Below are 12,766 nucleotides of genomic sequence, written 5' to 3' on the forward strand. Positions count from 1 at the left end.
TTTAATGTAGAGCAGGTTCCTTCCTCCTCAACTTTTTATTTCATGCCGCAGGCAGGGACTGTTTTTTAATTGTTCTATTTCCTCCAAGGCAGGTATCAGCTTTTGATTACATAACTATACGTCTAAATATATCTTTATGTTGTCTTCACAGTTGATTGACACTTTGGTTGAATATGTACTTCTAGGTTGAAAAACAATTTCTGGCAGGAGGCAGGGGACACTGAACTATTAAAAAGGAAGACCCAAGGCCAGGCACAGTGGCTCACGCCTACAAGTCCAGCACTTTGGGAGGCCAAGGGGGTGGATCACTTGAGGTCAGGAGTTTGAGACGAGGCTGGCCAACATGGTGAAACCCCGTCTCTGCTAAAAATACAAAAATTAGCTGGGCATGATGGCCTGTAGTCCCAGCTACTAGGGAAGCTGAAGCAGGAGAATCGCTTCAGCCTGGGAGGTGGAGGTTGCAGTGAGCGAGATCATGCCACTCCACTCCAGCCTGAGTGACAGAGGAAGATTCCATCTCAAAAAAAAAAAAAAAAGAAAGAAAGAAAAAGAAAGAAACAAAAACAATTTCCCTCAGAATTCTGAAAGTACTGCTCCATTTTCGCATCCAGGAATGCTATTGGATAGCCTGGTGCTTTTCGAATTGCTCAACATTTGTATATTATTTTTTTACATTTCTGGAAGCTTTAGAATCCTCTTTTATCCTTGGTAATCTGAAATTTCATGATGGTGTGGGCATTTTGCATTAACTATGTCAGACACCTTTTAATCCAGATACCAACGTCCTTCAGTCTGAAGTCTTTCCTGTATTGTTTCTTTTTTCTTTCCGAGACAGGTTCTCACTCTGTCACTCATGCTGGAATGCAGTGGTGCAATCACAGCTCACTGCAGTCTTGACCTCCAGGGCTCAAGCAATCCTCCTGCCTCAGCCTCCCGAGTAGCTAAGACTACAGGAGTGTGCCATCATGCCTGCATAATCTAAAAAAAATTTTTGTAGAGGTGGCATCCCACTATGTTGCTCAGGCTGGTCTTGAACTTCTTGGCCCTACTAGCATTATAGGCATGAACTACTGCACCCAGCCTGTATTACTTCTTTTTCTTTTTCTTTTTTTTTTGAGATGGAGCCTCGCTGTGTCGCCCAGGCTAGAGTGCAGTGGCACAATCTCGGCTCACTGCAACCTCCACCTCCCAGGTTCAAGGAATTCTCCTGCCTCAGCCTCCCGAGTAGCTGGGACTACAGGTGCCTGCCACCATGCCCGGCTAATTTTTTTTTTATTTTTAGTAGAGACGGGGTTTCACCATCTTGGCCAGGCTGGTCTCGAACTCCTGACCTTGTGATCCACCCACCTCGGCCTCCCAAAGTGCTGGGATTACAGGCATGAGCCACCACGCCCGGTCGTACTTTTTTTTTTTGAGATGGAGTCTTGCCCTGTTGCCCAGGCTGGAGTGCAATAGCGCGATCTCAGCTCCGCCTTGGTGGAGCCTACCAGGTTCAAATGATTCTCCTGCCTCAGCCTCCCTAGTAGCTGGGCTTTACAGGTGCCCACCACCATGCCCAGCTAATTTTTGTATTTTTAGTAGGGACAAGGTTTCACCACGTTGGCCAGGCTGGTCTCGAACTGCTGACCTCATGATCTGCCCACCTCAGCCTCCCAAAGTGTTGGGATTACAGGTGTGAGCCACTGCACCCAGACCTCCGCCTGTATTATTTCTTGATCATGTCATCCTCTTTATTTTCTGTTCTCTTTTTGGAACTCCTATTAGCAAGATTTTAGATGGATGGCTCCACCACATCTTTTATCTTTTCTCTCATATTTACTGTTCTTTATCTACTTGTCCTTTCTGAAATATTTCTTAACTCTTTCGATAATCATAGTTTTAATTTTCTCTTTCCCTGATAATTCCTTTTTGAGGCATCCTGTCCTGTTTTATAATATGAATGCAATATCTTCACATATCTCACAGAGCAGTTGGTGCTTATGTGAAGTTTTACTCTATTTCTTCAGCTAGCTGTTTTTTTTTTTAAGGAAAATTTGTATTATTTTCATTATTTTTATGTACAGAAAACTCAACAGTATACATTTAACCCAGTTTAGTGGCAAGTTCTTTAGCCTTTGCCTTTTCGAGCTTGGCAATGCAAGCCACAGACTTGGGACCCAAGATATTGCCTCCCCAGTGACAGCAGATCTCATCGTATCTGTCATTGTCATTGGTCCTGATACCTTCCACCAGCTTAGCCAAAGCGCCTTTGTCTTCCAAGTTCACCTGTGTGAAGGCGACAGTGGTGCAGGTCTTCCTGTGGACTAGACGGCCCAGTCTTGCCTTCCCCTTGATAATGCAGTAAGGGACTCCCATTTTACAACACAGGGCAGGCAAGAAGACAACCAGCTCGATGGAATCCACATCGTGTGCAATCACCACCAGCTGAGCTTTCTTGTTCTCCACCAAGGTGGTGATGGTGTTAACTCCTGCTCGAAGGGCAGGTGGTCTCTTAGTGGGGACGCCCCCTTTGCCAGCAGCTTTCTTCTCAGCCTGGGCCAACAGCCTCTGCTTCTTCTCTTGCTTTGTCTCTGGTCTGTATTTGTGGGCCAGCTTAAGCAGTTGAGTAACTGTTTGGCAGTTCAGGGCCTGGGTGAACTGGTTAATAGCAGGAGGCACTTTCAGCTGCTTATAGAGGATGGCTCTCTGCTGCTGCAACCTGACATAGCGGGCCATTTCACAAAGTAGGTGAGTTCTCTTTTGGGCTGGATGTCCTGTCCAATACCAAAATTCTTACGCCTTTTCTCAAACAGGGAATTCACCACTTTCTTGGCCTCCTGCTTCTTCACAACAGCAGGGGCCGGGGCCACCTTCTTCCCCTTGGCCTTCTTTCCTTTCAGCGTCTTGGGCAGTGGGAGGCCAGTTAGCTGTTTTTTAACTTTTTCTCATTTTTAATCTTCATATTAGAAGCTTTCCTCACTTTTCTAATGATCCTTGGTAGTCTGCTCTTTTTGTTTAATTTTAAAACTTTTTATTAGGGAAAATTTTCAACACACACAAAAGAAAAAAGAATAGAACAATGAGCTTCCTATGTGCTGAACCCCTGGCTTCAATCATTAGCACTATTTTTTTAACCCATTTGCCTCCCCTCCATACACATACCTCTCCAAAGTTTGGAATTTTGTTTGTTTGGGTTTTTATTTTGTCTGCTCTTTTTTTTTTTTTTTTTTTTTAACAGTTCAGCACTAATCAGGAATTCTGTGGACAGGGTTGAGTCTTGCTTGCTGGAAGACATCACTTGTGGGTGATTCACCAGGGAGGCAAGTCTTTTTCCTAGATGACCCCAACATCAGTATGAGAGGTCTTTTTTCCAGGGTCATTCAGTTTCTTCAGAAAATAACTAAGTCTTGGGCCTGGACAGCCAGCATCTGAATGCAAATGTGTGAACAGGAAGGGGGCCTGCAGGCCCTTATGTAAACTCACGGTCTACCACCTTGTCTCACAATGGCTGTGTACCACATCTGATGTCCCAGTTGCTAACATGCTCTAAGGCTGGTGGGGTGAGTCATCTCTCTTCCTCTGGGTATTCCCCTAAACGTATACTTGGCTTTCTCCACACGGAAGTATGAGAAAGGATACTACACTCTCCATCTTATCTTCTAAAAGTAGGGGGATAAGAGATACTGCCTAGAGTTCATAAAGAAGAAATAAAGGTTTAACTGTAAATTACAAAGATAACTAAAAGAAAAACTAAAACAAAGGAAATCAATATGCTAGGCGGAATCAGAAAAGAAAGAGGGAGGCCAGGTGTGGTGGCTCAGGCCTGTTATCCTAGCACTTTGGGAGGCTGAGGCATGCTGATCACTTGAGCTCAGGAGTTCGAAGCCAGCCCAAGCAACATGGTGAAACCCTGTCTCTACAAAAAAACACAAAAATTAGCTGGGTGTGGTCATGCACGCCTAAGTCCCAGCTACTTGGGAGGCTGAGGTGGGAGGATCACCTGAGCCCAGGAGGTTGAGGCCACAATGAGCCATGACTGTGCCACTGCATTCCAGCCTGGGTAACAGAGCAAGACCCTCTCTTTCTCTCTCAAAATAAAAAAAAAAAAGAAAAAAAAAAGGAAGGAAAAAAAGAAAAGAGGGAGAATTGAGACAAACTCTCATCTATCACAGCAAAAAAGAAAGAAAAATCAACTTTGTTTATATCTGGCGTTCATAAATCAAGAAATAGCAATATAAGCGTTTTACTTAGGGATATGAAGGTCACCACCAGAAGAATGTGATTGCCTGAGGAGCATGCTGGGATTGGAGGAGTGGGGCAAGGGTCTCCTGTTTTTCATTATGAGCCTGTATCCAAAAAGAAAAAAGTGTGTGGATTTTTTTGATACAATTTTTTCTTTTAATTAAAAAAAAGCATATCAGAGAATCAGGGAATTCTTCAATGTTCCCATTATTCTTAGGCTAAAGACCTAATTTTTTTTTTTTTTTTTTTTTTTTGAGACAGGGTCTGTCTCTGTCACTCAGGCTGGAGCACACTGGTACAATCAGGGCTCACTGTCACCCCAATCAACCTTCTGGTCGACCTTCCAGGCTGAAGTGATCCTACTGCTCAGCCTCCTTAGTTGCTGGGACTACAGGCACATGCCACAACACCCAGCTAATTTTTGTATTTTTTTGCAGAGACGGGGTCTCGCTATGTTGCCCAGGCTAGTCTCTGACAGAGCAGGAGCACCGTCATCTCAGACAAACACTGCCACTTTAAGTTCCAGCTCCCTTTTTAAAACTCCTGGGCTCAAGAGATCCTCCCATCTCAGCCTTCCAAGCACTGGGATTACAGGCATGAGCCACTGTGCTCAGCCAAGACCTAAATGAAAATTCCTTAAACAGCTGGTAAGTCTCTTTAAAAACCAATTAAAAAAAAAAAAAAGCTTTTCTGACAATTATGAACACATGTTCAATCTGTAGCAGACCAATTCAAAGATTCACTCTGGCAGGGACATTTTGTAAGATAATGGTTAGAGGACACTGTGAGATTCAATAGAAAAATAACCTGCACAGTTAAAGGTTACGAGACTCCTGATGGATAGTCTGCTGCTGGGTTGGATGACTGGCTTCCCAGAACATGTTTTAATCCTGTTAAAATTTATTAGAAAATTGCTTCGGTGTTTTTGTTTTTGTTTTTTTACAGGAATGCTAATTTCTTCCCAGAAGGAGACTGTAAATTACCTCATGAAAAAAGGTTTTGTCACAGACCTGGCTTGGGGCAATTTGTTCTTTTATAAGTCTCTACAAATCCTACCTAGACCGGCTCTGTCCAATAGAACATTCTTCATGATGGAAATGTTCTATATCTTTGCTGTTCAACGAAGAAGCCACTAGCCATATGGCTACTGAGCACTTGAACTGTGGCTAATCAAGCTATGCAACTCCAGTTTTAATTTTATTAAATTTCAAGTGAAATTTAAATAGCAACGTATGGCTAGCAGCCACTGTGCAAGACGGTGTGGATCTAAAGCGCCGTGGCTCCCAGCTGCTTCTTGCCCCAAGCCCTCCTCCTCTCTCTGCATTCCAGCCACTCTGGCCCACTTTTTCTCCCTAAAACATGCTGCCTCCTGCCACAGACACTTTGCACGTGTGGTATCCTCTTTCTGGAATGTTCTTCCCTCACCTACTCCCCAGCCTCTTCATCTGGTACATGACTACTTTTCCTTCACTAATTACGATTATCTCGTGCGCTTATTTGCTCACTTGTTTATGGTTAATCTTTATGCCTCTCCACCATCATCAACCCACCCAACTCTGGAGCCTGAATACACATCACATTTGGGCAAGAACCCTGCCCACCCTGCCCATCTCTGTACTCCCACCACCTAGACAGAACACACTTGGCTCTCAGTGAGCATTTGGCTAATATCTAAAAGGTAAGTGACATGTCACAATGTTGTTATCTCTCTCAGAGACTCCCAATTTCTATCTGTAGACCCATTCTTGCTACTGTAATGTTGCCCCACATTTCCAACAGACTGTGAGCATTTCTACTTAAATACCCTTCTGTCTACACATTAAATAATGTTATCTCCAGTCATCAGATTAACATTCAGAAAGCTTGGCTCTACTTATTGTCATACAACTCCAAACAAAGAAACCTTCAAAGACATCTAAGAGAAAAATCAATTTTAAGGAAACACTGAACACACTATACACGCTGCAAGGTTCTTAGGCCCTTTGCACACCAATATAAAAAGAAAGCAAACAGAAATGTTTCTGCAAAGATACAAGCGAGAAAGTTCAAACTTACCACAAGTTCAAAAATGTCCATGAAGACAGAATGTCCCTTCGGTGTTTTCTCATTCAGGCTGGCAGGAGACCAGATCCAATAGAAGTAAGTGCCATCTGAAGACAGGTGCACAGTGCTCATGGTGCTGCCAATGGGGAGGTGATTGGCTGGCATTGGCACCACCTGGCACACCTGGGCATGAAAGGGAGGAAATCTCCATTAGAGCCACATATAAATTCTGATTAATCCTATCAGCTCATCATTAATGCCATTATGCCCAAGATGAGAATTCACTAGGCTTTCTGGTCAAAATAAAATGGATATTTATCTCTAATAATAACATACACAAATTACATGGCAAAAATATAAAAGTTCATACAATGGGCAATAGAATAAATATGAACAGCCATGCAACAGATGAAAAGGTTCTTGGGATCAATTCAAATTACTTTTTAATAGGAAAAAGTATTTACTAAACACTTTGAATCTGTTATGCATATGTGTTGTATCTAACACTTATTAAAAACAAAGTTTTAGAGAAGCAACACTTTCTGAAATTTCTTTAGTAAATGAATTTATGATAATTTTATTTAAAGGACAAGAACTGTGTCTTATTCACCTCTATATCTCCAGTACCTAACGGAAAGCCTAACTCAAAGTTATTTAATGAATATGAAAAGAAGGAAAAAAGAGACAGCAAAAGAAAGCCAAGAGGAAAAGCTGAGAAGAGGGAGAAGGAGAAACAAAGTAAAAAATATAAAGGCCCATGACAGATCCTAACTTAGCATATGAGGGCTTACTGAAATTCACCAAGTCCATCAGGAGGAAAAGACAAACACCAATTCTGTATATTAAACATGAAGGCATGTGTTTCTAATACTAAACATCCTTCTGTTTCAGCATAATGAATAAGCTTTGCATCATTTCACATTAAATGTGTAGCTACATACTAATTTTTACTGCCAAAGACAGGCACTTAAAATGACTGAACATTAGAACCACAAAAACCTGCTGGCTAGGTTTAAAAAAAAAATCCAGAAATAGAAGAGCTGAGAAACTCAAAATAAAAATAATTAGAGAAAGTCAGATGCCTTCAGAGAACAGTGAGAACAATGTTCAATTTCCCATTACTTTGGGAGGGGGCACTAGTTTTCCCAAGGCGATCTCTGACCCCTCAATTGATTTCACATGAACTTTTTTCCAGACCTGTTTTGTCTAGCTCAAAAGTAAAAACTCATTTAGTTGATGTAACCATACTTTGAACCTACAGTGCCAGGAAGACTAGAAAGTTGACAGCTACTAATTGGCCTGTGCTATCCCCAAAGTGCTCCATTGCAATGCACATATCTAGTTTGTGACCTACAGCCCTGCTTTCTTGGACAGTGTCAAAGTTTCTGCAACAACACTGAGGAACCTGGCACTACTTCAAATGTAAATCATGTTTTGAGATTTAACATCTGTTTAACTACCAGTCTTATAACTTCTATTTCAAATGAGTATGAGACATTCTCATCTGTCTGCACTTGTGACAAGAAATTAGGTTAATTGGGCATCTATTTGTTAATTTGTTCATTTTATTCATCCAACAATTATTGAGCACCTACTATGTGCTCTGGAGATGACAGTGGTGAACAAGACTCAGTCCCTGTTCTCTAGGACAGGCAGTTGAGTGACAAACAAGAAGAAATGTAACATTACACTTAATTTCTAGATGTGACTACTCTTAGAGCACTCACTCCACAGACGCCAACTCTAATCATTTAATCCAACTTTGTTTGAAAGGCAGAAAGTTGCAGTGTAAAGAGTTCAAAGTACTGGGCAGAGAACCAAAGGTTCAAGTTCTGGTGCCGCTACTATTGGCTGTATGGCCTTAGGCAAGTTACTTAACCTCTCTGAGCTGTATTCTTACACTCAACAATAAACACTTGCTGAATGCTTACTAGGTGCCTAGCCTCAGTTTCCTTATCTGTAAGATAAACCTACATAGTAATGCCTCACAGGTAGGAAGAGGAAGTGTATGTTAATTGCCTAGGCCAAGGCCTAGCACATAGGAGATGCTGAGGAATGGTAGTTACCATCATTGTTATTATTATCAGTCAAATGTCTGGCAGTGTGTTATGTTCTAAGGATACACAGATGAGTAGGACAGGGTCCATACCTAAAGGTGTGCATGGTCAGTGAAGTCAGACAGAAAAGCAGGTAACTGCAGTATAATACAGCAAGTGCCATGGCAGAGTGCTTACGAGAGCACTAAAGCCAAGCTCTCAATCCCTAGCACACAATGATTTTACTCTACACTCATTTCAAAGCTCCCTTTCCCACAGAGAGGCTGTTTAGAACAAATTGAATAAGGAAATGATGCCTTCCCAAAATAGATCTGGTTCAAAAAAAGCAAAAAAAAAAACAAAAACAAAACAAAAAAAAAAAACCAGCTAGTATTTATACCATCTTTGACTGTCTAGAATTTTTTCTTAATTATAAAAAAAAGTTTGTTGTAGGCTGCAGAAACTTAGAGAACACATTCACTCAGTTCATATGGGAAAAGTCTAAGACATTAAATAAAAAACAGAATGCCCAAACTATAACAATTAAAAGGATGCCACTCTGGGAGGAAAATATATCAACTGTATTATTATTACTTCTGATGATATAGGAACTTTCTTTATTGCCTCTAAAATATGTTTTAAAAATGCCTTGGTTTTCTGTTTACCTGAAGGGTGTTCTGGTCAATGACCTGGAAAAGGGAGTGAGGTTTATTATCGAAAGAGACAGGCCGGTGGAGAAGACTGCCGCTGCCAAAAGCCACCCATCCTGGTTCCAACTCCTCGTTCCGGCAGTACACAAAACCTCTGTGGAATGAAATGGAGCACAGGCTGAATCACCTGGCTATGTCAGAAACCCCACACAAGCTACAACAGACACAAACAACATTTTCGACCTAATTTTAAAAAATGAGTAAGTATGTAAAACATCTGAAGGAAAGTGAATGTATTACATTAACTTCAGGACTGCCAAACTATAGCAAATATTGACTTTCCACAATAACTTAGAGGGGAGAAAAATTTGGGGGAAAAGATCTAAATGTATACAAGGCTTTCAAACTGTAGTTTCTTTTGGCAGCAGTTTATAGATCTTATATCCCAACTGAAAATCACTTGCTAATCCAATGTCAAACCCAAGTTCAAAGAGACTTAAGTAGAAAAATGTCCACTTATTAACATGGAGAAGTCACTGATATTGTTACAAAAATACTGATCATGGAGGACTTTCTGGCTGGAAACAATGATCTTGGGGCTACCAAACTCTTCTGGGCCAAAACAAGGCTAAAATGCATTAACAGAACAAGATGGGGAAAGGTGGCAATAAGAGAAGATTGGAATTATTTGAATTAGTTCAGACTTGTTATTTAGTTACTAGTCTATGGGGAGCTGGAATCTACCCACAGTGTCTTCTTCAGAGATTTATGTAAGGAGGATAATGTTCTAGCCCAATCATTCAGGAAGTTCCATGCAACTGACCTGAGAGTACCATGTAATCCAGATCCCAATTTGCTTACTCCTCTTCCAACTGAGTTAGTAGTATACAGGTAAAGACCATCTGCCGTGAGACAGCGTCCCAAGTCAGCATCTGAAATCGTTTTTTCACAGGTAAATTATATATATGTTTTTTCTATTGAAATTATAAACATGCTTTTTCTAATGAAAAAGCCATTAGGAGGTTGAGTGAAAGATTACTTCTCACTTCTAAAATAAGAGCTTCAATGTGACTTTCAGGGAAGATGGCTTGAGCCCCCAAATCAAACATCCAAAATGCATGTGGACCAGAGACCAAGATATGGTCAGACAGTTACCAGCAGGGGAATGTGGTTTAGCCCGCCAAATGTTTTTCTTTCTTTTTTTTTGAAAAGCTTGTACTTAGTCAAGTCATTCCTAATTCTAATTTGAAATGACTAATCATAATTCTAATTTGAAATGACTAAGAATACAGTACAACACTTTTATTAGTAATTGCATAGTAAGAGAGGCATGAGCTCTTATGAGCTCAGTAAGTGACCCTGAACCTCTTTGAACGTCAGTTTCTTCATCTGTAAGATGAGGATAATAATATGTACCTCAAGGGTTACAGTGATGGCCAGATGAGATAATAGAGGTAAATACATCTATACTGCTCTCTGATGCAAAGCTAGTATTCCATAAATGGCAAATGAAATTGTGTTAATATACTAATGATATACATTAAACTAAAATCTGCCTCTGTAGATTTTCCATTCAGAGATCCTAATTTTAGTCTCTGGAGGGACAAAGCACAAAAGTTTCATATCTTTTCTATTTTAAAACAGCAATATGTTTCCCCTTAGCTCTGTCTTCCTCAATCTAAAACAGTATCTCTCTATATGATGGTAATTGGTTTAGTAACTCAAATTCCAAAGAATTTGCCTTAAAATAGAGCTTATGGATAAAACTTTCATTGTTTATTTTCATAATCATTCTGCTCACTATGTTTAAGTGGAGTCTTTCCACCTGAAGCATGCCATATTAGCTGGAGGAAATGCAATGTCACACCGTCAAATTAGTACTAAAAATGCTGTTAGCTTAAAAATTCAGTCTACTAATCTGAGACAACTGGGACCTGTACCTATTGGTTCCTCAATGAAAAAATTTGTTAAAGTGGGTAACCATTTTTAAAACATTAATTTCACACCTTAAACATTTTAATTTAAAACTTATAGATTACATTTATTCATCAATTTTTAGATTAAGGCCCAAGGCCTTCTGGGTATGGCTCTGTCGAGGGGCAGAAGTGAAAAGGACAAACAAAACAAGATTGGCCAGGAATGGATACTTGTTGAAGCTGAGTGATGAGTACACAGGGCTTATTATAGTATTCTCTCAACATCAGTCAAATGTGGAATGTTTCAATATTAAAAGTTACACTGTGGCCAGGCACAGTGGCTCATGCCTGTAATCCCAACACTTTGGGAGGCCGAGGCGGGCAGATCACCTGAGGTCAGGAGTTCAAGACCAGCCTGGCCAACATGGTGAAACCCCATCTCTACTAAAAATACAAAAATTAGCCGGGCATGGTGGTGGGCACTTGTAATCCCAGCTACTAGGGAGGCTGAGGCAGGAGAATTGCTTGAACCTGGGAGGCAGAGGTTGCAGTGAGCCAAGATCGCGCCACTGCACTGTAGCCTAGGCGACAAGAGCGAAGCTCTGTCTCAAAAAAAAAAAAAGATTACATAAATTAGTCTAAAAACTATATAAGAAAAACAGGCCAGGCGCCGTGGCTCGCACCTACAATCCTGGCACTTTGGGAGGCTGAGGTGGTGGGAGGATGGCTTGAGCTTAGGAGTTAAAGACCAGCTTGGGCAACAAAGCGAGATCCCCGTCTCTACATAAATAAATAAATAAATAAATAAATAAATAAAGTAATTATCCAGGCATGTTAGTGCATGCCTGTGGTCCCAGCTACTCAGGTGGCTACGGTGGAAGGACTGCTTGAGCCTGGGAGGTCGAGGCTGCAGTTGTGATTGCACCACTGCACTCCAACTTGGGCAACAGAGCGAGACCCCATCTCAAAAAAAAAAAAAAAAGAAAAGAAAAAGAAAAAAGAGAGAGAGAAAAAAAGAAAACCATTTCTCCCTAGATGCAAAACCAAAGGTTCAGGAAAATGAAAGCAAACAGATCAGCTTAATGCCATCCTCCTCAGTGAGAAACTACCCCAAGGGAGATACCAAATGGAGTTTTTTAAAAGGAGAGAATCAAGAAAGAAGTTTTAGTTCTATATTAAGAAGTAAGTTGGAGCCGATAATGTCTGAGAACTTCTTGGGTACTGCAGGCATTCTCCCTCTCCTGTTGACTCTAGTTGAATTAGTGAAGGAAATAAATCACATTTAAAAGCCTTGCCGCTTCTTCTCCACACACTCTCATGCCTGTTTAGAAGAAATGGTAGACCATGGAAAGGTACAAGCCCTGGGCTGAGAGATGCGAGGGGGCCTGCCGCTTAGATTCTCCTCCGTGCTGGTGGGGTTGCCCAGGAAGGCTGCCCCATGGAAAGTGGGAAATGAAAGGGAGGGAGGAACAGACTCTCTGTCCCACACCTGATGAACACCAGTTTCTTAGAGACTCACTTCGTGGAGTTTTTCTAAAACATTCAACTTCTTAATGGCAACTATTTCCTGGGTTTTTTTAAAATTCCTATTTCATCAGTTATGTAAGATTTAATGATAAAATCACAATAATAAGTACCAGTTACAATTAACAAACTGGTTTGGGAGCAAGCCTACCTCTTGGCAAGCCTGCAATTCCGCTGGTGGGAGCAGAGCTGACCAGCCCTGTGGGTTCAGTGGGCCACGGCAGGGCAGCAGCCTAGACATTTTACTGAGTGAATGGAGAGGTCTATCCCATCTGCCAAGTCAGTTAAGAGAGCTTCTGCCATTTTTGTTGAGATAATGTAAGAAACTGACATGTAATACTGTAAAGCTCTGTAAAAACATTTTAACCTAGCTTAT

The 12,766-nt window shown here is 41.1% G+C and overlaps 1 protein-coding gene and 1 pseudogene across 2 annotated transcripts in view, besides 2 other annotated features; both read right to left on the reverse strand.

The window, feature by feature from the left end:
• The window catches only part of HECTD4 (HECT domain E3 ubiquitin protein ligase 4), a 222,237-nt gene that overhangs the window by 139,593 nt on the left and 69,878 nt on the right, over nt 1-12,766 (reverse strand). For both annotated transcript variants that reach the window (NM_001388303.1, NM_001109662.4), the window contains exons 5-7: nt 9,774-9,882; nt 8,966-9,104; nt 6,277-6,447 (exon numbers count right to left, since the gene is read on the reverse strand). In NM_001388303.1, the coding sequence (NP_001375232.1) occupies nt 6,277-6,447; nt 8,966-9,104; nt 9,774-9,882 (419 nt within the window). The remainder of the gene's footprint in view (nt 1-6,276; nt 6,448-8,965; nt 9,105-9,773; nt 9,883-12,766) is intronic.
• RPL7AP60 (ribosomal protein L7a pseudogene 60) lies at nt 2,025-2,898 on the reverse strand (annotated as a pseudogene).
• Nucleotides 3,362-3,411: an enhancer, noted in NCBI's record as "active region_7047". NCBI's record gives its function as "activates an Ori minimal core promoter by ATAC-STARR-seq in GM12878 lymphoblastoid cells {active_cell/tissue: GM12878}" and the evidence as "EXISTENCE:reporter gene assay evidence [ECO:0000049][PMID:35858748]".
• Nucleotides 3,572-3,831: an enhancer, noted in NCBI's record as "active region_7048". NCBI's record gives its function as "activates an Ori minimal core promoter by ATAC-STARR-seq in GM12878 lymphoblastoid cells {active_cell/tissue: GM12878}" and the evidence as "EXISTENCE:reporter gene assay evidence [ECO:0000049][PMID:35858748]".

Source organism: Homo sapiens, chromosome 12 (genome assembly GCF_000001405.40).
Source record: "Homo sapiens chromosome 12, GRCh38.p14 Primary Assembly".
NCBI lineage: Eukaryota > Metazoa > Chordata > Mammalia > Primates > Hominidae > Homo > Homo sapiens.